The following is a 23,310-nucleotide window of genomic DNA, read 5'->3' as shown; positions in this document are numbered from 1 at the left end:
GAGTGAAGGGGTTTCCTTCCATGCAGAGGCTGTTGCTGTGGTTGTTTTTGTTGCTGCCTCAGGACCCGCCTCTGTGTTTCTGTGGGTTTTGGGGTCTCTGTGTGTCTCTGTCCTGGCCTCTCTTTGTCTGCATCTTTGTCTCCCCCACCTGGGTCCCGGCTCGGTATCTCTGAGCCTCGCCAGCCCTGCAGGAGCACCTCATTGCCCTCTCCCCCTCAGTGCTGGTCATGCCGCTAGCGGACAAGGAGGCTGGGGCCGTGGCAGCTGTCATCTTGGTAAGAGCCTGCCTAGGCGGTGGGATGTAGGGAGAGGAGACCATGGGAGGGAGTGGTGGATGGAGCCTGTCCAGGGTGTGTGTGTGTGTGTGTGTGTGTGTGTGTGTGAGAGAGAGAGAGAGAGAGAGAGAGAGATGGGAGCCATAAGCGAGGATGGAGTGAGGGGAAATGGGGGTGTGGGGGTGGGAGGAGTTGGGGCATCTCCCACACCCCAGCCTTCTGCCCCACCTCGAATAGGTAGGATGAAGCCATTGGCCCAGTCAGCAGCTTTCTGAGGGGTGTGCAAGCCCCTGCTGGACTCTCAGCCCCCATAAGGTTAGAAGGCCCAGCCTTTGGCGTACGCAGCACTAACCTTGGTTTCTCTTTGGGATCCTCCAGATGGGGTGGGGATAATGTCCAGGAGGGCATGAACCAAGTGAGGTGTGAAGAGAGATGCTGCGGAGGGACAGATGGACATAAGGGCCTGACCAATAGAGATAGTGTGGAAAACTAGCCAGAGATTTGGAGTGGCTGGAGCTGGGGGCCTTGAGGAGAGAAAGGCCATGGTCAGGCCAGCCAGACCCAGGGCTGAGGCTGGGCGGAAGACAGGCAGCTAGGGGGGCTTTCTGGAGTGGCTGAGGAAGGAGTGTTAGTGGGAAGTGGTGGATGCTCTGCCAGAGCCCCAGAACCCAGACAAGCCTCCCTCTGCAGCCCCTCGAGGAGTTCCCAGGGTTTCTGCTCCGTGGAGGGGATTGTGGAAGTGCAGAGCCTGTGGGGACGGGATTCTGCCGCTCTTTCCGTTTCTTCTCCTGTATGGAGGTGGGGGTTCAAACTCGTTCTATCCTAGTAACCAAAGGATGAGTTCCCCAAATTGCTATTATTGGGGGTCTGCTTCTGTCGAGGGGGCTGCCATTCCAGTAAAGGGCAGGCTTGGGGGCATGGACAGATAAATGAGCAGGTGTTGGTTCCCCGGGGACTCCTCTCCAGCTCATTAAAATGGAATTAAACGCTTCCCAGGCGCCTGACCTTTCTGAGCTGCTGGCAGGAGAGGGCAGTGGGAGTCAGGGATGGCTGAGAGGGGAGGAGAGGGGGGAGGGGAGGAGGGGTACTTGGCTGGGTCTCCTCTGCACCCATCTTCCTGACTGAGGGAGCCAAGGCCGCTGCTTGGTTTCTCCGCAAGCTGCTCCCCCCACCCCCGGTTTCTGGAACGGAGCTGCTGTTGCACGGAGTTCTCAGGGGGTCGCCTCCCCCTATTCTTTGCTCTTGGTCTGCCCCAGGGCTGGTCAGCTTTGAGGGGCACTGAGGTGAGGGGCTGTGTGCAGAGGTGGGGATTGGGAGGTGGTGGCTGGGTCACGCACCTCCTTCTCTGCTGAGGGCAAAGGGCCTGGGGTGCCAGGTGCCTGAGAAGGACTTCCTTAGATTGAGGCTATGAGGACTGGGTCAGGAGGGAAGTAAGGGGAAGACATTTGGAAGGTTGCTTCCCTTGTGGGCGGAATGCTTGCCATGGCCGCTGCTCACCTTGGCTCAGGCTGGGCCAGAGGCCAATGTGTGTGTGTGTGTGTGTGTGTGTGTGTGTGTCTCAGGGACGCTGGTGGGATCAGATCACTTACACTTAACTCACCCAGTAGAACTCTGGTCTGGTCCTGCGGCAGGCTGGGTGCTGGAGCCGACTCTGCCTTCAGGGAGCTCTCAGTCTGGGGGAAGGCAGGGACACCCTCCCCACCACAGGCCAGATGAAATACTGTTGCCAGCAGGTGTTCTGGTGGCAAAGCCTGGAGCAGCAAGTGGTACCTCATCACAGAGAAAGCATTTGTGTGGGGCCTTGGGGCACAGGTAGGAGGTCCACAGGCAGGGAAGAAGGGAAAGGGGATTCTAGGCAGAGGAGGAATGTGAGCAAGGCAGGAAGGAGGCCGGGGGAAGGGGTGGTGTGCTGAGGGGAGAGTGTGGTCCTGGGGAAGCTGAAGTAGGGGTGCATGCTGTTGAGCAGGATGCTAGCCAGCTGGGCTCTGGCTGCCAGGAGTTTTCAACAACCGTCCCTTCACCTCCTCAAATACCCTGGGCAGGGAAGAACTCTTGAAAGGTGTTTAGATTATTCACATCTGCCTCTCCTCTAAGCCTGCACCTTCCCACTCATGTGTAAATGCACTTCCCTAGGATGCCCCCTCCCCAAGGCATACATGTCTGACAGATGCACCCTGGCTCACAGGATCTCACTGCCTCCCAGAGGTAGCACAGGCAGCCCCAGACTTCCCAGCTGCTGCCAGATCCTGAGGGCAGAGGGTGCAGAAGGAAGATGGAGAGCCACAGGGTCGGTTGATCTTTTGGGAAGGCCGAGTCACCAGCTCCTTCCTGGACAAGCCCCATTCCCCTCTCTCAGTCTCTGCTCTTAGTATTCATCCACTGATCCACCTACCCATCCACCCCCTCATCCATCAGTTGAACAACTATTTCTTGAGTACCCACTGTATGTCAGGCATGGAGTGCTAGGTGCTGGGAACACAGAAGTGACCAAGACAGATTAGACAGGCCCTGCCTTCACAGACCATATGGTCTGGAGGGTTGGTGGTGAGAAGCACTAAAGTGAGCATAACCCCAGCTACTTGGGAGTATTCCTTGAGCTCAGGAGTTTGAATCTGGCCTGGAGAATAGAGTGCGACTCCATCTCTAAAGACAATAAAAATAACAAAAATACTGCAAAACAAGTGAGCAAAATAAGGATAGGATCACACGTGATGGCAAGTGCTAGCAAGGAAACCCCTCGAGGGAGTCCTGCAAAGGAATGCTGGGGTCCAGTGGCGACGCCATCAGCGAGGGCTCTCTGAGGAATATGCTGGCCAGGTGCAGGGCTGTGTGGCTGACTTCTGGGCCTTTACAGCTCACTGCTCAAAGCACCTTGATTGCAAATTTTTTGTGTGGAAAGTCTTTGGCTCTGTTCCTTAATCCTGGGATAATAAGTCCCTTTGAGGAGTGGCAGCCCTTGGTCTCTGGCATTTGATGCCTGATTTGTGCCCACTCTTCCCCCAGCTGCACCAGCCACACCAGCTCCCTGCACGGGGATGGGGTGTTCATGCCATTAACCATTTTGAACTTGGTTAGGGTGGGGACCTGGGGGCTGTGCTGGGTTTTAACCCTCTCTTACAGCCACAGTGCCCAATGTTGAGTGTTCCCACTGGGTCCCAGACACTTGCCCTGATTAGCAAGAGCAGGTGTAAGTGTGTGTTCCTGTTGGCGAACAAAAAGCCATGAGTGTGTGGGGGTGATTGTGTGTGTTTGTGTATGGGGGCGCCAGGTGCATGTGCATGGCTTTTGGGTAAGTGAACTATTTCCTGTGTACAGGCATGAATGTGCCTGTGGGGATGCTGTGGACACTGTAAGGGTGGGTGTGTGGATGTCTTTGTGTCTGTGACTGCACCGTGTGTGTGTGTGTGTGTGTACCACCTCCATGGGAGATTGAGTGTAAGTGCATGTGTGTGAGGGCCTGACGTTCTTCATGAGAGTGTAGGTGTGTGTGTTTGTGCACATGCTGGGTGCAAGTAGGCCAAGGCAGCCCGAGAACTGGTTGCCCCCACAGCCTTAGAGGGGTCCCAGCCTTCTCTATTCTTGAGAGATGGGACCAGGTGGAAGGAACAAGAACCACGTCCTCCTCCATGTGCTAACAGTAAAATGCCAACATATTTATATAAGCCATATGCAAATGAACCATAGCCCCAGCTTCTCCTCCCTCCCGCCCCCGCTGTCCTGTAGGAGTCACAGATTGAGCCTCATCCAGAGCTTAAGTTTAAACACCATCCTTGACAGCCCAGGTCTCTTCCAGGTCTTCCTGCCTCCAATCTCCCTCCCTCAAATTCACCCTACACCCCACAGACAGTGGCCCTCAGATGCTAAAGTCTGCCATGGCTCCCCAGTACTCTCAGGCTAAAGTCTAACTTCTTAGCCTGGCACTCAAGGCCCTTCCTTCTGTGGTACCATGGACCACACCCCTACCTGGATCCTCATCTCCCCGCACCACCTACCGCCAGTGTCCTGGTCTCTTCAAGGTCTACTTGTCCTCCCCATGCCAATTCAGGAAGCCTTCCAAATGTCCTCCCCTCTGAGCTACCCACCTAGTTTTCTCTCTCCTTCCTCAGGTATGAGGCTCCACACCTCCTCCCAGTCATGTCTCCCCACTCGTCCCACCCCAGACAGACTGTGAGCTTCCCGAGAACCTGCTGGTCTCCTCCTCCCCATCTGCTCCTGGCAGGAGACCCAGAGCTGAGGCAGGCATTGGCTGCTGACTGGGGAGGGAGGAGGAAGGAGGAGCCCCCAGTGCAGGCGCTGTGGGGAGCTCTGCAGGTGGTGAGCAGCTTTGAGTAAGCTCCGGAAGCTAGTGACGCAGGTGGGGAGCCTTGCTGGCAGGGCCTGTAGTGGGTCCCTAGGCTGCCACCCTCCCTCCCCACCGTCTCTCATTTTCCTCGACAAGCACCCAAGTAGGAGTGGGGGAAGGGACTTCACAGAGTATGAAAGATGGGCTGAGTTCCCTGGTGACTGGCACAGGGAGCTTGGAGAGGGACAGGATGATGGGGGTGGTGGAGAGAGTGGATCTAGAGGGGGGAAGGTGTGGGCAGAGAACGGGAGGGAGTGGGTGGTGCTGTCTTCACTCTGCCACTTTCTGCTATGTGATTTTGGGCAAGTCACTCCACTTTTCTGGCCATGGCTTGCCTGCCAGGTGGAGGCTTGCATCACAGTGGTGAGAATCACATGTAAGGCAAAGCACTTCACGAACCCATTTATCCATTTATTCATTCACCCGTCCATCCTCACCATGGCAGGTGCATCATACTGAGCCCATTCCTTTATCCAAGACTTAGGGGCAGCTCAAACCCTAACTCAGACAGGATAGAGCCGGGAGGCTGAGGCTAATACCACCAATTCTAAAATCAGGACCTGCAGCGCTCCATAATCTGTGAGCTAAAAAGGGGTCTAAGGTCCCTCCATCCCCTGAACCATACACCCGGACTGTGCTCTTGATGAGACAGTGATTGAAAAGGCAGAGACAAAAAAGTTTCACGTCCTTAGGTTAGTCCTAGGAGACTTCCTACAGGAGGGATTTTCCTGGAGCTGTCTGAGTGGTCAGAAAGATGGGGTTATCACTGAGGCCCACAGACTGGAGTGTGTATGTGTTGGTGGGGACCAGTGTGTGCTGCGCATGGGGAGGGCACTCTGGCAGAGACAGACACTGAGAGAGGTCACAGCTAGTTCCCTTCTCCCATCCCTCCAGGTGCACTGTGGCCAGCTGAGTGATAATGAGGAATGGAGCCTGCAGGCGGTGGAGAAGCATGTGAGTGGGAGTGGGGCCATGTGCAATGAGGCTGAAGACCCTTATCACAGCTGGTGGGAAGATGGCCTGGCCAGGGAGCTGGACAGACCTGGGTTTCAGCTTCGGCTTTGCTGCTTTTGAGCTGTGTGACCTTGAGCAAGTCACTAAACGTCTCTGGGCCTCAGTTTCACACCTGAAAATGGGGATAATGATAGCACCGACTGACCTAGGGCAGTGGTGAAACAAAACTGGTCAAATATCTTGTAAATACACACGGTTGCCAACTTACAATTTTCGACTTTTTGATGGATTTATGGGGAAGCAACCCTATCCTAAGTCCAGGAGCATCTGTACTTAGAAAGAACCCTCCACATAATGATACTGAGGCTCTTTCATGCCTGAGACTTTATGATTTTGTGACTTTAACAAGGACTTACGACTTCCTGAGGGGGCTGGAGACAGAAATCTGACATCTTGTCTTGGAAGAATCTAGGGGCTAGGGATGGAGATAGACCCTGTACCCTCCTGTTCCTGGACCGCCGGACGCTCCAGGGGCTGTGGGAGCCCCCGGGGGAGCCCTCAGGAAGGTAGAGTCCAGGGATGAGGTGTTTGGGACGGCGGCGGGGTCCCTGGGCCCGGCAGGCAGAGGGAACGGCGGGAGCAAAGGCAGGAATCCCGCTGCAGCAAGCGCAGCGAGCTTGGGGCGAGCGGCGCGCTAACCGCTCGGCCTGCCCCAGACCCTGGTCGCCCTGCGGAGGGTGCAGGTCCTGCAGCAGCGCGGGCCCAGGGAGGCTCCCCGAGCCGTCCAGAACCCCCCGGAGGGGACGGCGGAAGACCAGAAGGGCGGGGCGGCGTACACCGACCGCGACCGCAAGATCCTCCAACTGTGCGGTGAGGGCCCGGCCTGGACAGGTCACGAGGGCGGGGCCGGGCAGAACTTGGAGGGGAGGTGGGCGGGTTAGGCGATCCCGGGAGCCGGCGGCGGGCCCGGCGCGGAGCTGAGCGGCGCCTGAGGGACCCGGACACGGAGGTGCGGAGGGGCCCTCTCTCTGACCGGCGCCTGGCCCTTGCAGGGGAACTCTACGACCTGGATGCCTCTTCCCTGCAGCTCAAAGTGCTCCAATACGTGAGTCCCTGCGCCCCTGCCGGCCACCTCCCCGTCCTGTCTCCCTCCGGGGACCAACTTCCCCTTGAGCCCTCCATCTCAGTTCCAATTACGATGTCCTTCCTTCCTCTCTCCTCCACCCGCCTGAAGAGCCCCGGAGAGGGGAGCAGGTGGGGAGTGGGGTGACCCGGATCCGCGGTCACCCCCTCGCCCTGCCTGTCCCTCTCTCAGCTGCAGCAGGAGACCCGGGCATCCCGCTGCTGCCTCCTGCTGGTGTCGGAGGACAATCTCCAGCTTTCTTGCAAGGTGAGGGCCCAGGTCCACTGTAGAGCGGGGGCGGGGCTGGGCGAGGAACTCGGGTCTCCGAGGGGGAAATCCATTGCCTTTCCTTTAACCAGCCCCCTGCACTCCGTTCCTCAGGTCATCGGAGACAAAGTGCTCGGGGAAGAGGTCAGCTTTCCCGTGAGTCCCGCGTCTGTCTTCTCGTTGGAGTCTGCAGGGGCGGTTGAGGCCGGGTAGACACTCCTGGGATCTGCCTGGAGTATTTGGATCTTCTAGACTCTTGGAATCCGATGGAATTATCTGGATCTTGGGACTACTTAGAAATGCTGCAGGGATCACAACCTGTGATCAGCAGGCTCTATTAGGAAGAATCTCTTAGCATCTACAGAAAGGCTTACCTGGGACCTGTTCACTTCTGTTGGAGTATTTCTGGATATGGATCTGCTAGAATCTGTTGACGAGAATCCTTGGAGTCTGCTTATCTCTCTCGTAGTTAGGGAAGACTCTAGAGTCCTTTATAGCGAATTCTGCCAGACTCCCCTCCATCTCTGCTCATCAATGCTGACCCTGTCCACCATTTGGACTGACTGAAGGGTTCTTTGAAACTTCCAGATTTGAGGGTGGGGACAGGTTGAGATCCCCTGACCTGGGGAGTACTGGGCCCTGACTCAGTCTCTCCTCACCCCCTAGTTGACAGGATGCCTGGGCCAGGTGGTGGAAGACAAGAAGTCCATCCAGCTGAAGGACCTCACCTCCGTAAGTCATGGCCTGGCTGACCCAGAGGGGAAAGAGGAGACCCCACTGCCAGCCCCTAGAGCCAGGGTCTCTGTTACAGAGCAGCCTAGGAATGGGGCAGATAAGACCTGGGGACTTTCTACTGTCCCATCTCCATGACACAGAGCTTCCAGCCTTGCATGAGTCCCTTAGAACTGCCTGTTGCAAAATGTGATGGAGGGCTGGAGGAGGGAAGCATACTGCGCCCTGCTTCCCTGCCCTGACTTGCCTCGCCTTTGCAGGAGGATGTACAACAGCTGCAGAGCATGTTGGGCTGTGAGCTGCAGGCCATGCTCTGTGTCCCTGTCATCAGCCGGGCCACTGACCAGGTGGTGGCCTTGGCCTGCGCCTTCAACAAGCTAGAAGGAGACTTGTGAGTCTTTGTGGGATGATGCAGATCAGGAGATGTCACTGAGAGGCTGGCTAGGGCTCCACGAGGGTAACAATGTGGGATGGGTACTGGGCAGGGGCTACTGTCTCAGCAGCAGTGGGTTGAACAGTGTGTTAGTGCAAGAGAATGAAAGTCATGTTGAGGTCCAAGCTAGTTCCTCTTCTCTTCTCCTGCTTCCTGAAGTTTGGGTAATCTGCTCTTGGGGTATTGGGTTCCCTCCCTTGCCATCCCTGTTTTTGCATTACTGCTATAAACTGCTAGATGGAGGGGTGGGTGTGCTCTGGGTTGGATGAACCCTCTGGGACCCACAAAGCATCATCAACACAGTGGACAGTGGCTAAAGGGAATATGCTTGGGGACTGGGAAAAGCTGTGGATCTTTTGAGCCCCTGACAGGGCAGCTATAAAAATGATACACAAAAATCTCTTTTTTTGTGGGCAGGGCACAGTGGACAGGAAAGCAGGCTTGGAGGCTTAGTTGGAAAGGATATCTCGAGAACTGAGGACAAACCTGGGGTCTAGAAATGGTGTCATAAATAAATTTCATATCCTACACCAACTCATAAACAGGCAGTAGGTGCCTGAATTTTATTGCAAATGGATCTTAGTTCAGGGAGAAACAGTGCTGCGTCTGATGAGCCATTTCTGTCCTGGGTGCAGGTTCACACTTGGGCTGGCAGGATGAGCAGTTTGTGCTGTGTCACATAGGTGGGGAGAAGTAGACAGATGAGGGGCTGAGTCCTGATGCAAAGAGATGCTGATAGGATGCTGGTCTCTGGAGTCCAAGCAAACAGGCTGGGTTTCAGGGCCTGGAGCTCCTGCAGGAGGTGGACACTAGAGAGCCTGGGACTAGGTAGGTGTCAGAGCCCGGGCCTGAGGTCTGCTGGGGTAGGGTGGAGATCCAGGAGTCCTAGGTCTGAGCTGCAGAACCTACCAGCATGGAACTGTGTTGACAGTTGGGTGGGCCTGGAGAAACAAAGATAGGGGCAAGGCAGAATCAGCTGAGGCAGGGAGAATGTGGGATTGGTGGCATTTGGAACTTGTGGGCATCCTAATGGTGGGAGAATTTATGCCATTCAGCAAACAAATATTGAGCACTTAATGTTGCCATCCCAGTGCTGACCAGATGGCCTTGGGAAGGCCTTTGGGGAAGGGAAGGTAGAGTGAATGGGGGTCCAGCAGGGGCCATGACTTCTTGCTGCTGGCTGTGAGATTGGGTTCTAGGATGGCCCCAGAGCTGGAGAAGAGGTGGTATCAGCAGGAAATAAGGATGGGGCCTTGGTGGCAGCTTTGAGGCCCAGGGCAGGGGCAGGGCTATCTCTGTGTCCCACGCATTTCAGGGAGTGAGTGTTGAATGACTGCATGAGCCAGGGTGGGGCTCAGCTCAGTGCAGTGACTACAGAGAAGCTTCCTGAAACACAGCTAAGTAGCCAGAGAACAGGGGCTCCAGAAGCCCTTCAGCTGTGAGTGGGATGGGGCTGGTGGCAAGGCCAGGGATAGGATACACTGACGACATTAGCAAAGACCTCCGAAGTGTTTCCTCTGTACCAGGCTCTGCACTGGGCATGGGTGATATAGTCATGGCCCCATTTCATAAGACTCGAAGCTCATTTTCAGGGCATAGAGGGAAGAGAGTGAGAAGGGTATTCTAGGCCGAGGGAACAGTGTAGAAAAAAAAGCATGAAGGTGTGAAAGAGCCCAAGGTTTTCTCAGAATGATGAGGATCTTTGTGTGGCTGAAGCTGAGAGATGTTCTGGGTTGAGGGGTGACAGGTGGGTGGGGCTAGCTGAGGGACCACAAATGTAAGAAAGGTGTGCAGACAGACCCAGGATGGTGGGGATGGGATCTAGATCCGAATCACTGGATGGCAAGCATGAATGGGGGATGCCCCACCAGGGTGGAGCACCAAGGCCAGCCAAAAAGTGGGGAAGGGCTTAGGCAGGGACACCTCAGGGCAGCGTGATGTGGGCTAAGGCAGGCTCTTCCCATGACCCACACCATTGGTCCACCCAGCCCCATGCAGCTCCCCAGTGACAAATCATTTGGTGGCCAGATTGAATGACGTGAGCAGGATTTGGGGCTTATCTTGTCTCACCAGAGCTAGCTCCATGAGCAGGGCAAGCAGTCCTCTCCACACCACCACCCTAAGATTTCTGGAGGCACCGAATCAGGGCCAGCGGAGTCCAGGGAGAGTGGGGTAGTGACAGGAGCTGCACAAGATAGGGCAGTGCCACCGCCCCTCCCCAAGGCTGGAGGTGTGCCTGGGGAAGAGCAGAACACCAGCTTGAGCCCAGGCAATCTCTAGTCTGAGGGAGGAGACCCAGCTTTGGGCTGGGTAAATCCCAAATCAGAGACGGGAGGTATGGCTCTGGTTTCAAGCATCTAAGGAGGACTGGAGCCCTCCCCTTGGGCAGCCCCCAGTCTGCAGGGTCATGGGGGTGGGAAGCTGTTCCAAGGGCCTGTGCAGTGGTTATATAGTTGGCAGGTGGGTACCCCTGTGGGCTTCTGATGGAACAGAAGTAAGGAGAGTGGGGAGAGAAGCCAGTCTTCCCTTCCCTCCTGAGTGAGCCCACCCCCTCCTCCAGGTTCACCGACGAGGACGAGCATGTGATCCAGCACTGCTTCCACTACACCAGCACCGTGCTCACCAGCACCCTGGCCTTCCAGAAGGAACAGAAACTCAAGTGTGAGTGCCAGGTGAGTGACCTGCCTTCAGCCTCTCTCGGGCACCGACTCGCTCAGTTTTCAGCCCCGAGAGCCATTCAGAAGGGAAATGCCCATGTCTTTCTGGACTGGTGGCAGCCCTTCCCCAGGTGGCTCCATAACCTCATAACTTGAAGGCTTGCAGTTGTTCAGGACCCGCGCCACTGCCCGCAGGCACTGTATGTGATCGCCCTCTAGTGTTCAATTTGGGCACTACAGCAACACCTAGGCAGCTAGAGCTGGCGTGAAGGCGGCTGAGACACTCAGGAGACTCCTCACCTGCACCGGGGCTATTCCCTCACTCCTTCACTTAGTAGCCAAATGATATAATTAGACACTGACAGTTTCTGGCTTGTCCAGTGAGCCCTAGGGAAGGAAGGAGAAGACCCGGGTGCTGTTGGAGGCAGGAGGTTGGATAGGGTGACCCCTACACCCCGACCCCCCTATGATCTCCATTTCCTTCATTCCAGGCTCTTCTCCAAGTGGCAAAGAACCTCTTCACCCACCTGGGTGAGTGCACTGTTCTCTCTGCCTGGCTGTGTGTGGGCATGGGGGCTGGCATTTGCAGAGGAGAGGCGGGAGGTCTTGGCAGCCTGGTCTCACCCTGCCTGGTCTTCTCCCTTCCCCAGATGACGTCTCTGTCCTGCTCCAGGAGATCATCACGGAGGCCAGAAACCTCAGCAACGCAGAGATGTGAGTGACTCTACCCAGGGGACAGGGCGAGAGAGGCTGTGGCCTTCAGTCCCCATCATCTCCTTTCCTGCCCCACCCACTTCCCTTTCTCTGCCTTCTGCGGGACTTCATCACCTTTTGAGGGATCCTTTATTTCATGCCTGTCTCCCTCGCTAGACTGTAGGCTCCAATACAGCAGGGACAGGGCTGGCTTTGGATCCTCAGCTCCTATCACAGTGCCTGGCACATAGTAGGTGCTTCCAAAAAAAAAAAAAAACAAAACACTTGAATGGACACGTTTCTGGAGCCAGCCAGCCCTGAGCAGAGTGTCTTACCTTGGAGCACTCCTCCCAGGCCTCGGAAATCCGGCCTTTGCCTCCTTATGGGACGTGAGGGCGATCAGAGGGGGTTGTCAGGCCCCAGAGGACCAAACCCCTCCCTCCACAGCTGCTCTGTGTTCCTGCTGGATCAGAATGAGCTGGTGGCCAAGGTGTTCGACGGGGGCGTGGTGGATGATGAGGTGAGAGGGTGTGGAGGGAGTATGTGGCCCTAGGGGTGTCCGGGAGTCCGCCGGCGGCGCTGGGGAGCGGCCCGAGGTTTAACAGTCCCCTCTGTGGCCGGGTCACTAACTTCTTCCTCTCGACTCCATCTCTGCTCCGGCAGAGCTATGAGATCCGCATCCCGGCCGATCAGGGCATCGCGGGACACGTGGCGACCACGGGCCAGATCCTGAACATCCCTGACGCATATGCCCATCCGCTTTTCTACCGCGGCGTGGACGACAGCACCGGCTTCCGCACGCGCAACATCCTCTGCTTCCCCATCAAGAACGAGAACCAGGGTGCGCGTGGCGGCCCGGGCGGAGGGGCGGGGCCTGCGCCGGGCGGGGCGGGTCCGAGCGAGCGGGGGTGGCAACACTTCCCCACCGCCTCCAGCGTCCCGGAGCATAAGGGAGTCGGGTTCCATGCCTGGGACGTACGTAACCTGCGGAAACTGCGAGGGCAGGTCCCGGCCGGATCCCTCCCTCCAACCGATCCCTCCCTCCACCGGTGGTTCCTTGCCCCTCTCCCTTCCCCAGAGGTCATCGGTGTGGCCGAGCTGGTGAACAAGATCAATGGGCCATGGTTCAGCAAGTTCGACGAGGACCTGGCGACGGCCTTCTCCATCTACTGCGGCATCAGCATCGCCCATGTGAGGGCGGGGTTGGGAGTGGGGTGTGGGGTGATAGGGGGCGGGGCCCACGAAGGACCCTCGGTTCTCCTCCTCCGACTGACTCTCCTTGTGGATTGATCCCTTGGTCTGGCACTCAGAGTCCCGCCGCTGGGGTGCAGCCTTCAGGACACGCTGGCCACCTCTGGGCTCAGTTTCCCATCTAAAAATTGGGCATACGATTTCCTGCCCTGTCCACTCAGCCTCCTGGGACCATGAGAAACTCCCGTTGTCAAAACCTCCTCTCTTCCCTGGAAGCAGTCTCAACCCAAGCCGAGTGCTTTTTTGGAAGTGCTGGGTCTCGGTGTCCAGGCCTACTGGCGCTCTGGCCTGGGAATCCAGCCCCAAGGTCCCTGACATGATCCCCTCCTTGCTTCTCCTTCCCTGCCATGGGCCTTGGGCTCCATCACTGAAGCCTGGATCAGGTGTGGGGGAGTGCAAAGGGCCAGACCAAATGCTGGGAGAACTTGATGAGGAGGAACCGGCGCGGGGTCTGGATGAAAGTGGGGGTGGGGTCTTTACTGTGGACTGGAGCTTGAAGGTTTTGACTGGGGCCAGAATGGGACAGGAAGTGGGGTGTCTTTTTGACCCCTTCATCCCAGTCCTGGGCATTGCTAAATTTTCACAGCCACCTTCCTTGAGCCCCATCTTTCCCTCTTTCCCCTAGTCTCTCCTATACAAAAAAGTGAATGAGGCTCAGTATCGCAGCCACCTGGCCAATGAGATGATGATGTACCACATGAAGGTGAGGCTTGCAGAGACCTCTGGTCCTCCTCCCAGATTCCCCGGGGACCCAGGGCCAGGCAGGGCTTCCTGATCAATCTCTACTGAGGATGAGAGGATAGGCCCAGAGCCACAGCAGGCCTCCTGCCCTCCTTAGGGGCAGCTCCCACCCCTGCTTAGAGACCTCTCCTCCAAGCTGCTTCTGAGCTCAGTCCCAAGGCTGGAAGTAGCCAGAGGAACCAGCCCAGGGAGTAATTGGTTCAGCCAGGTATTCCCCATGTTCAGGGAATAATTCCCATCTTGGGAATTACTGAGGGCTAGGAAGCTCACCCAGGACCCGTCCCCATGGCTTCCCTAGGTACAATGCCCATGCAGCCCTGGGCAGTCTTAATTGCTGATAATCTATCCCATTCCCTACCCTGGGTCACAAAAGCTGGCTTAGTTCCATGTATATGGTAGTCGCTGTTCATTTGGACATTTCCTCTCACCTGTGTCCAAACCAGAGAGGCCCAGACCTTGTGAGTTGGATCAAAACTGTAGTAGGAAGAGTTAAGGTTAGAGAGTAGAAAGGTCTCCACAAAAGGAGGACTGCTACAGTTACTGTGTATGAAATGCTGCCATGGTTAGGGGGTGTCATGAAGGGGTGTTGTCGATCTTTGCCAAGGTTATGCTGTTACAGATAAAGGGTGGTCACCTGCAGGGAGGCGCGCGGGGTGGGCTGCAGGGCTGTGAGGGGAGGGTGGTGATTTCCTGCCCAGTTACAGTCCACAGCGTGGTGGCCCAACTGTGGTACATTCTGGGTGACGGATCCCCCACCTGCCATGGGAATTTGAGGGTGAAGACACCAGATGGGGTGAAGGCTGTCTTCTAATGCTCTGGCTGGTCTCCTCTAGGTCTCCGATGATGAGTATACCAAACTTCTCCATGATGGGATCCAGCCTGTGGCTGCCATTGACTCCAATTTTGCAAGTTTCACCTATACCCCTCGTTCCCTGCCCGAGGATGACACGTCCATGGTGAGTTGCTCTCCTCCACTTGACTGGCCAGGCCGAAGGTATGTAGCCAGAGGCTTAAGTTAAATGCGCATCAAGAACTTCCTGGGAAGACAGAGTCATCAAGGAAGGCTGTGGAGGGTCCCTCAGAGATGGAGGGGCTTGTAGTCTGCCATCAGGAAGCCATAGGGCCTGCCCAGGGGCTAGAGGCTGGACTGGATGATCCCAAGGGCTGCTCTTGGACCAACCATGCCCAGGGCATGTGACCTCAGGGTTTGCATCCCTCCCAACCCTGTTTTTCTAACATTTTGTGTGGGCTTGGTTTCAAGAGTTCTTAGTTCTTAGATCTCTAAAAATGCATAGCTCCGAGAACGGTTGCTTCAACTATTTTGTGGTTCTCTAGTTTAGATGTAAGTTTCTAAGACTCCAGATTTTGAGTGTGGAGCTTGAAGAAGGACCCAGGCAAGGGCCCCGTCTTGATACTGGCAGCCCCTCTGATACCTCCCTCTGCCCTCTCCAGGCCATCCTGAGCATGCTGCAGGACATGAATTTCATCAACAACTACAAAATTGACTGCCCGACCCTGGCCCGGTTCGTGCGCCCACAGACAGCCCCAGTCTTCGCCTCCCTCTTTCCTCTACTGTCACATCCGTTGCCCCCGGCATTCTGGAGAGGATCTCTCTAAGGATGACTGGGGAGACCCAGTCTTATGGGGGTGGGGAGGATCCATGAATGAGAAGCAATTCCTAGACACTGAACTGTCAATAAAGGCAAGAAATGAGGCAAGGCAAAGCCTGGAGGCAAGGCCGAGAGTGTGTAGCCAGAGGTTTAAGTTAGATGTGCATAGGAACTTCCTGCTAAGACAGAGTCATCAAGGAAGGCTGTGGAGGGTCCCTCAGGGATGGAGGGGACATGTAGTTTGCCATCATGGGGCCGTGATGGAGGAGGAGAGGCTGAGGCCCCTCTTCTGCCCTCTTCCCTCCCCCAGGTTCTGTTTGATGGTGAAGAAGGGCTACCGGGATCCCCCCTACCACAACTGGATGCACGCCTTTTCTGTCTCCCACTTCTGCTACCTGCTCTACAAGAACCTGGAGCTCACCAACTACCTCGAGTGAGTGGCTGCATCTCCCCCACATCTGGCAGCCACTGGGGTCCCCTCCCTGGGACAGGGAAGCACCCCCTGTGTGTCAGGCACTTTACACGCACTGCCTCATGGGATCTTCTTAGCCCCAGGGGACTAGAGGGGAAGGCTGTGAGCCCCATCTTCCAGGAGGGGCTTGCTCACAGCCAAGCAGCTAGTGAAGACTGAGCCTGATTTAAACCCGGGTCTGCTGGGCTCCAAACCAGTGCTTCTTTCCAGGAAGGGAACCCAGGTGTTCCAACCTCCTGTCCCAGTGGCTCCTGGGCATGTCATCTCCTGTCTGTCCTCTTGGGGATTTAGGGAGGGAACTGTGGGCTGACCTCTTTTTTTTCTCCTTTCTGCCTCTCAACCAGGGACATCGAGATCTTTGCCTTGTTTATTTCCTGCATGTGTCATGACCTGGACCACAGAGGCACAAACAACTCTTTCCAGGTGGCCTCGGTAAGACCCTGCCCTGCTCACAGTGGGGACCCTCCATGGGGTGTCTGGGAGTCTCATCCTCTCCCAGCCTGAAGATGGGTGGGAGCGAGTGAGACCAGGAGCCAGGTTTAGACACAGGAGGAGGTTCCCCCAGGGTTTGCCCCTGGCTCTGAGATAGGGAGGAGGGGAGAAAGGTGGAAGGGCAGGACACTGCTCAGCCTAAAGCAGTGGCACTTGGATCCGGATGTGAGGAGTGACCACAGTTTTCCTGGGCTTTTCCAGAAATCTGTGCTGGCTGCGCTCTACAGCTCTGAGGGCTCCGTCATGGAGGTATCACTCTTCTGTCCCACCCCGTCCTTCTTCCCCTTTAAGGCCAGTGACTTGCAAAGTTATGACCCAGCTCCTCCTATTCCCAAACCATGCTCTCCAGACAGGCTGCGAGAGCTGCAGCCACACCTAGGACATGTCTGGCTCATTTTCCTGGAGTGGGCTTGGAAGGGTGCAGGTGCGGATGATAGCAAGGATTTGTGTTCAGCGTGTTTCCCTTTGGCTGCCTGGGAACACCCCATTCAGCCCCCTCCTGCCAAACTTGGGATGGGCTCCACTCCCATCACTTAGCGTCACCTTAGATTGTTTGGTTTGGGTCTGCCTACCTCCTCGTGCACAAGGTCTGAGCCATTTCTGAGTTCCCTGCACTTGGCACAGGGCTTGGCACAGAGTAGGAGACACATTTCCAAGGTCACCTTGCCTCATGCTACTTCCCACAACACCCCTCCAGAGGCTGCCCCTGCTTGCACACCCCCAGAGACGAGGTTCTCTGTCTCTCTCCCAGGAGGCCTGGTGGCAGTGCTGGTTCTGCCCTCTGCCCCCCTGAGATAAGCTGCTCCTTTTCTGAGTGACAGCCCTTCAGCATCCGGAAATGGGGGCCTTGCCCTTGCCTCATCACTGCCTCTCCTTGTCAGCAAACAAATGTGTTCTGCATGATTTGGTGTCTAGGACTCCAAAGGATCATTTCAAAAATGTTCCAGCTTTCAGGGACCCCAGAGCTTACCTTGTTGGGTCCCTGCATGTGACAGCTGAGGAGTCTGAGGCTCAGAGTGGTCTAGGGACTCACCCTGGGTCACACAGAGGGTTGAAACAGAGCTCAGAAAGGGAACTGGGGCCCCTGACTCCCCCTTTCTGACTGCTCTGCTGACCTGGGGGCTGGAGCTGGACGAGGCCCCTGCTTCCTCTCTTGGGGTCAATGGTAAGGGAGCCCATCTGCCCCAGCTGGGCCCCCATCACTCCTCTCCCCCCAGAGGCACCACTTTGCTCAGGCCATCGCCATCCTCAACACCCACGGCTGCAACATCTTTGATCATTTCTCCCGGAAGGTGATGGGGTTGGGGGTGGGGTGGGGATTGAGGGGGAGCTGGGAGCTGGCTGGAGGTGGGATAAGGAGCCAAGGAGTGGAGGCTCACTGGGATGGGCAAATGGGTGGGGGTGTCCAGTAGGAGGGCATGACACCCCTGCCCTCGCCTCAGGACTATCAGCGCATGCTGGATCTGATGCGGGACATCATCTTGGCCACAGACCTGGCCCACCATCTCCGCATCTTCAAGGACCTCCAGAAGATGGCTGAGGGTGACTGCTGTTAGCCCCAGTCCTTGGGGCTGGGGAGGAACAACCAGGGGAAGGATTTGCCAGGGGAGCATTCCCAGGGTGCAGACCCATCCCCTGCAACATCAACCCTTCTCTGGCTGCACGGCCCCCCCCAGGCAGACCCAGCACTGGCCCCTTGGCTCCCATCAAGGGTGCCCAATTCCCTGGACCGCTCTGGGTTGGGCCCTGGGAGCCTTGTCCTCAGAAGGGCAAAGAGGCTGGGCCCCGCTCCTTGACCCCATCCTCCCCTCAACAGTGGGCTACGACCGAAACAACAAGCAGCACCACAGACTTCTCCTCTGCCTCCTCATGACCTCCTGTGACCTCTCTGACCAGACCAAGGGCTGGAAGACTACGAGAAAGATCGCGGTAGGTGTAGTCCTCCCTGGGAAGGCACAGGCTGCCCACCCTGCCCAGCTTTGGGTGCCCCCTGTGCCTGAATACCCTCTCTCTGCTCAGCTCAGCCTGGCTGTGTTCTGGGGAGACAGAAACCTAGACCATCTCAGGGTGACAAATGGAGACTCAGAGAGGGGAACAGACCTAGCAAGTCAGTGGCTGGTGGAAGGTGGGCCCCAACCCAGCCACTCCCTGCCTCAGGCCATCCCACTGCCAAGCTGGGGCTGGTGGGGACGGCTCCTGAGCTGGGACTGAATCCCTGGGCCTCAGTTTTCTCTCCTGGGAACGGGCTGTCAGAGGAGCTTGGGTGGATGTATCCTACATAGAGGATGTGATGAGAGTGTTGGCCTTTCAGGAGCTGATCTACAAAGAATTCTTCTCCCAGGGAGACCTGGTATGTGTGGAGTGACCCCAGGATGTCCAGGATGGGGGAGGGTTCCTGGCCTGGGACAGGGAGGGCTTGAACTAGCCTGACCCTGGTACCCGATGGAGGAATGAGAGGGACAGGCCTGACGACTCGATGCCTGCAGGAGAAGGCCATGGGCAACAGGCCGATGGAGATGATGGACCGGGAGAAGGCCTATATCCCTGAGCTGCAAATCAGCTTCATGGAGCACATTGCAATGCCCATCTACAAGTGAGTGAGCTCATGGGGACAAGCTGCACCCTGCACAGAGAGGGTAGGCTGGAGTGGGGACATCACAGGAAACACAGGTGCTGAGATTGGCCTGGCCCAGGTCCAACTGATTCATCCCCTTGCCTCTGGGCATAACTGTCTCCCGCTGTGCCCCTCAGTGGGTCCTTCACTTCATCCTTGGTCCTCAGTGGAAAGAGACCATCATGCTTTCCTAGGTGTCCTCCTCTGTCTCACATTCTTGTGGAAGTTCTTGTTTTTTTTGAGATGGAGTCTCACTCTGTTGCCCAGGCTGGAGTGCAATGGCACGATCTTGGCTCACTGCAACCTCCCCCTCCTGGGTTCAAGCGATTCTCCTGCCTCAGCCTCCCAAGTAGCTGGGATTACAGGCATGCACCACCACGCCCAGCTAATTTTGTATTTTTAGTAGAGATGGGGCTTCACCATTTTGGTCAGGCTGGTCTTGAACTCCTGACTTCAGGTGATCCACACACCTCGGCATCTCTGAGTGTTGGGATTACAGGCGTGAGCTACCGTACCTGGCCCTTGTGGAAGTTCTATTTGTTGTGTAGCCCTAGTCTTTCTTGCTGCCCATGGTCTGATTTCTGGCCTCTCGCCCTCTGCCCCCCATGCACCCGCAGGCTGTTGCAGGACCTGTTCCCCAAAGCGGCAGAGCTGTACGAGCGCGTGGCCTCCAACCGTGAGCACTGGACCAAGGTGTCCCACAAGTTCACCATCCGCGGCCTCCCAAGTAACAACTCGCTGGACTTCCTGGATGAGGAGTACGAGGTGCCTGATCTGGATGGCACTAGGGCCCCCATCAATGGCTGCTGCAGCCTTGATGCTGAGTGATCCCCTCCAGGGACACTTCCCTGCCCAGGCCACCTCCCACAGCCCTCCACTGGTCTGGCCAGATGCACTGGGAACAGAGCCACGGGTCCTGGGTCCTAGACCAGGACTTCCTGTGTGACCCTGGACAAGTACTACCTTCCTGGGCCTCAGCTTTCTCGTCTGTATAATGGAAGCAAGACTTCCAACCTCACGGAGACTTTGTAATTTGTTTTCTGAGAGCACAGGGGTGACCAATGAGCAGTGGGCCCTACTCTGCACCTCTGACCACACCTTGGCAAGTCTTTCCCAAGCCATTCTTTGTCTGAGCAGCTTGATGGTTTCTCCTTGCCCCATTTCTGCCCCACCAGATCTTTGCTCCTTTCCCTTTGAGGACTCCCACCCTTTGGGGTCTCCAGGATCCTCATGGAAGGGGAAGGTGAGACATCTGAGTGAGCAGAGTGTGGCATCTTGGAAACAGTCCTTAGTTCTGTGGGAGGACTAGAAACAGCCGCGGGGCGAAGGCCCCCTGAGGACCACTACTATACTGATGGTGGGATTGGGACCTGGGGGATACAGGGGCCCCAGGAAGAAGCTGCCAGAGGGGCAGCTCAGTGCTCTGCAGAGAGGGGCCCTGGGGAGAAGCAGGATGGGATTGATGGGCAGGAGGGATCCCCGCACTGGGAGACAGGCCCAGGTATGAATGAGCCAGCCATGCTTCCTCCTGCCTGTGTGACGCTGGGCGAGTCTCTTCCCCTGTCTGGGCCAAACAGGGAGCGGGTAAGACAATCCATGCTCTAAGATCCATTTTAGATCAATGTCTAAAATAGCTCTATCGCTCTGCGGAGTCCCAGCAGAGGCTATGGAATGTTTCTGCAACCCTAAGGCACAGAGAGCCCAACCCTGAGTGTCTCAGAGGCCCCCTGAGTGTTCCCCTTGGCCTGAGCCCCTTACCCATTCCTGCAGCCAGTGAGAGACCTGGCCTCAGCCCTGGCAGGGCTCTCTCTTCAAGGCCATATCCACCTGTGCCCTGGGGCTTGGGAGACCCCATAGGGCCGGGACTCTTGGGTCAGCCCGGCCACTGGCTTCTCTCTTTTTCTCTGTTTCATTCTGTGTGCGTTGTGGGGTGGGGGAGGGGGTCCACCTGCCTTACCTTTCTGAGTTGCCTTTAGAGAGATGCGTTTTTCTAGGACTCTGTGCAACTGTCGTATATGGTCCCGTGGGCTGACCGCTTTGTACATGAGAATAAATCTATTTCTTTCTACCAGTCCTCCCCCATGGGGCTGTTTGCAGACTTTGTGCTTGGGGTGGGTGGAGGGGGGGAATAGAACTGGGAGAGGCAAACGCCCTTTGGAACTCCATGGCTTCCAGGGTCCTCCACCCTTGGTGCCTAGCCCCCCTTCTGGGGAAGTCATAGACCTGTTGGGGTACTCCCTAGGCCAGATCGTGGAGGCTAAGGGGTGGGTGGCAGATGAGAAGGCCTGGCCATGGAGCAGTGATGGGACATGTTGGCTGGCAGAGATTGTAGAATAGAGGAAAAACAAAGGTTGAGGCAAGCAGGCAGGCTGCCTGGAGGAGGTAGCCTGGAGCTTGTCCTAGACCCTCCCAGCGCTGGCCTGCCCTGGTCATGAGTGCCCATACGGCGAGGGCCTAGGCCTCTGAACTCTGTTTCTAGCTGCAGTGATGCCTGGCTGTGTCCCAGGAAGTCCCACATCCCAGTTACTCTGAGTCCTGCCGAAGGTGCACCCCTGAGTCAGACTCCACACCAGATCCAGCCCCGGGTTGTGTCTGAGGAGTTGTGTCTGTTCCTCTGCATGAGAGTGTTTACTTCCGCCCAGTCCAAGATGGGCAGACTGCAGGTTGGGGCTACGCGGAGGCTCTGCCTGGCACAGTCTCCAGACCCTGTCCCCGACTTGCCTACCCCCCTCTGAGCTCCTCTCCGTGTTCATCTCTTCCTGGTCAGTAAAGGTTGATGTGTTAAGAGGGTGGGCACTGGGGTCTCCTTTCTTGGTGGGAGCAGGAAGGAGATGGACAGGGCCATCCTGTGACCATCAGCCATTGCCAGCTTTGCCTTTGGGACCACAGAGCCCATCTGCTTCCTCTGCAGCTCCCCCTGCCCCACTAGCCTGTCTGGGTTTGGAATCTGCTCCTCTGGCTGAATGGTCTCCAGGTTTCCAGCTTCCCTTAGCGTCATGGGGCTCCAGGCTCCTCCCATTCCCAGCTCCTGCTGTGGGCTCCCCAAGTCCGTCTCTATCCTCTCACAGCACAGGACCCAGGCTTGGCCAGTGGGTCCCCAGGTGGGGGTGGGAGTGGTCAGTTTGTGGCCCACGGCCAATAAGAGATGGCTATTCTAATGGTGCCTGGCTGACCCCAGGGTCACTGTGGGCTGATGTAGCTGCTCTTCTGCCTGACCCCTGACCCTGAGTGTGTGTGCGTGTTCCTCTTCCACAACTCTTCAGGCAAAGAGAACCTTGACCCTGCATCTGTCTGTCCCCAGCCCAGCCCTCCTTTGAGGCTCATGCTGTGACACATCCCTGTTTTTCACCAAATGGAGGGAACAACCACAGATATTTCCTTGTGCACGCAGGACCCTGTGCTAGGGCTGAGGGCTTTGTCTTTGTCCTGCTCTGGAAAGTCTCACAGTTTGATTGGAGAGCTAGATCTAAACTCAGATGCAGGCCATGACAACGCTGTGGGGTGCCCGGCCATGGGGCTCCAGGCAGGATCATAACCCTGAGAACAACAATGAGGTTTGAAAGATGAGCAGATGTTGTTTATAGGCAAAAGGGGACAGGCACTCCTGGTAGAAGAAACTGCTTTTGCAAAGGCCTCGAGAACAGAAGGGACTGGCAGGTGGAGGAGCCGAGAGATGGAGGAGGAGGCAAGGCCAGATCCTGAAGGGCCTTAAATGCCAGGTTGTGGAGTTTGGCTTTATTCTGTGGGCAGTGGAGAACCAGAGAAAGGTTTTCAGTAGGAGAGTGACTCAGAAGTGCATTTTAGAAAGATCCCCCTGGAGAGCAGGGAAGTGACTGCAAGGGGAGAGGGTGGGCAGGGATTATTCTATGGGTGATGTGCTGTGCCCTGGGCTGGGCGAGGAGAGGAATTCAGGAGATGCTAGGTTGGCAGAACATGGTGACCAGTGGGTCGGGGGATGCAGAGGGAGGACTTGGAGGGGCCCTGGGAGGTGGGGTCTATGCCACTCCATGAAGAGCTGTGGGGGCTCTGTTCAGCATCACCCTCACCCACAACAGGTATTGGGTGGAGCCTCTGGCAGGGGTGAGCTCCCTGCAAAGGTGAGCAAAACAGCTATCTGAGGATGCCCAGGGAGGAGAGGTGGGAGGAAGGGAGAGAGGACAGATGGGAGGAGGCTCTGCACAGAGCCTGAGGACAGCCCTCACCAGGTTACAGAACACAAGGCTTGACCCCATTGGCTTCCTGTAGCTGTCCTGCTCTCCCAACTTAATGGTTTCATTTTGCATTTTATTTAAATTTCACAATGATTCTAGCAGATACCATTAGTCTATTCTGCAGCCAAGTTGTCTAAGGTTTGGAGAGGTTAAGTAATGCACCAAGGTTAGGATTTGAGCCCTACCTGTCTGATTCCCCTCCGAGAGCTGTCTGATTCCTTTCTCCTCCTCTGGGATAGGGAAAGGAGACTCAGAAGGACGGGGTCTCCATCTTCAGTCTTTGCAAGACTATTGTAGGGCATTGGGATGGTGAGCACAAAGTGGGTTGAAGCCCCAGAGAAAGAGCTGAGAGCTGGGATCAACTGTGTGTGTGCATGTGTGTGTCTGTGTGTGTGTGAGTTGGAGTAGGGGGCAGGGAGAAAAGAGTGGGGTGGTGGTGGCTT

The 23,310-nt window shown here is 56.5% G+C and overlaps 1 protein-coding gene and 1 long non-coding RNA gene across 6 annotated transcripts in view, besides 4 other annotated features; one reads left to right on the top strand and one right to left on the bottom strand.

The window, feature by feature from the left end:
* Positions 1–20,727, top strand: part of PDE2A (phosphodiesterase 2A) — a 98,282-nt gene extending 77,555 nt beyond the window's left edge. For all 5 annotated transcript variants that reach the window (NM_002599.5, NM_001146209.3, NM_001143839.4 and 2 more), the window contains 26 exons: positions 220–275; positions 5,512–5,571; positions 6,288–6,441; positions 6,624–6,676; positions 6,887–6,961; positions 7,076–7,117; positions 7,628–7,693; positions 7,954–8,084; positions 10,687–10,798; positions 11,275–11,314; positions 11,434–11,497; positions 11,924–11,996; positions 12,140–12,317; positions 12,555–12,667; positions 13,353–13,430; positions 14,302–14,424; positions 14,921–14,991; positions 15,389–15,511; positions 15,895–15,982; positions 16,244–16,291; positions 17,260–17,334; positions 17,485–17,584; positions 17,859–17,971; positions 18,354–18,392; positions 18,529–18,635; positions 19,274–20,727. In NM_002599.5, the coding sequence (NP_002590.1) occupies positions 220–275; positions 5,512–5,571; positions 6,288–6,441; positions 6,624–6,676; positions 6,887–6,961; positions 7,076–7,117; positions 7,628–7,693; positions 7,954–8,084; positions 10,687–10,798; positions 11,275–11,314; positions 11,434–11,497; positions 11,924–11,996; positions 12,140–12,317; positions 12,555–12,667; positions 13,353–13,430; positions 14,302–14,424; positions 14,921–14,991; positions 15,389–15,511; positions 15,895–15,982; positions 16,244–16,291; positions 17,260–17,334; positions 17,485–17,584; positions 17,859–17,971; positions 18,354–18,392; positions 18,529–18,635; positions 19,274–19,484 (2,393 nt within the window). In that variant the 3' untranslated portion in view covers positions 19,485–20,727. The remainder of the gene's footprint in view (positions 1–219; positions 276–5,511; positions 5,572–6,287; positions 6,442–6,623; positions 6,677–6,886; positions 6,962–7,075; positions 7,118–7,627; positions 7,694–7,953; positions 8,085–10,686; positions 10,799–11,274; positions 11,315–11,433; positions 11,498–11,923; positions 11,997–12,139; positions 12,318–12,554; positions 12,668–13,352; positions 13,431–14,301; positions 14,425–14,920; positions 14,992–15,388; positions 15,512–15,894; positions 15,983–16,243; positions 16,292–17,259; positions 17,335–17,484; positions 17,585–17,858; positions 17,972–18,353; positions 18,393–18,528; positions 18,636–19,273) is intronic.
* PDE2A-AS2 (PDE2A antisense RNA 2) lies at positions 8,662–12,262 on the bottom strand. Its single transcript, XR_001748291.2, has 2 exons — positions 11,812–12,262; positions 8,662–9,067 (listed from the first exon to the last, which is right to left on the bottom strand). It is a non-coding gene; the product is annotated as a PDE2A antisense RNA 2 (long non-coding RNA).
* Positions 10,992–11,091: a silencer, noted in NCBI's record as "silent region_3721". NCBI's record gives its function as "represses an Ori minimal core promoter by ATAC-STARR-seq in GM12878 lymphoblastoid cells {active_cell/tissue: GM12878}" and the evidence as "EXISTENCE:reporter gene assay evidence [ECO:0000049][PMID:35858748]".
* Positions 11,534–12,055: an enhancer, noted in NCBI's record as "H3K4me1 hESC enhancer chr11:72295857-72296378 (GRCh37/hg19 assembly coordinates)". NCBI's record gives its function as "activates a minimal SCP1, AML or CMV promoter by ChIP-STARR-seq in naive H9 embryonic stem cells {active_cell/tissue: H9 hESC(naive)}" and the evidence as "EXISTENCE:reporter gene assay evidence [ECO:0000049][PMID:30033119]".
* Positions 12,056–12,579: an enhancer, noted in NCBI's record as "H3K4me1 hESC enhancer chr11:72295333-72295856 (GRCh37/hg19 assembly coordinates)". NCBI's record gives its function as "activates a minimal SCP1, AML or CMV promoter by ChIP-STARR-seq in naive and primed H9 embryonic stem cells {active_cell/tissue: H9 hESC(naive and primed)}" and the evidence as "EXISTENCE:reporter gene assay evidence [ECO:0000049][PMID:30033119]".
* Positions 12,322–12,431: a silencer, noted in NCBI's record as "silent region_3720". NCBI's record gives its function as "represses an Ori minimal core promoter by ATAC-STARR-seq in GM12878 lymphoblastoid cells {active_cell/tissue: GM12878}" and the evidence as "EXISTENCE:reporter gene assay evidence [ECO:0000049][PMID:35858748]".
* Positions 20,728–23,310: the final 2,583 nt, after the last annotated feature.

Source organism: Homo sapiens, chromosome 11 (assembly GCF_000001405.40).
Source record: "Homo sapiens chromosome 11, GRCh38.p14 Primary Assembly".
Taxonomy (NCBI): domain Eukaryota; kingdom Metazoa; phylum Chordata; class Mammalia; order Primates; family Hominidae; genus Homo; species Homo sapiens.
The sequence above is the reverse complement of the archived record's forward strand: the minus strand, read 5'-3'. Positions and strand labels throughout refer to the sequence as shown.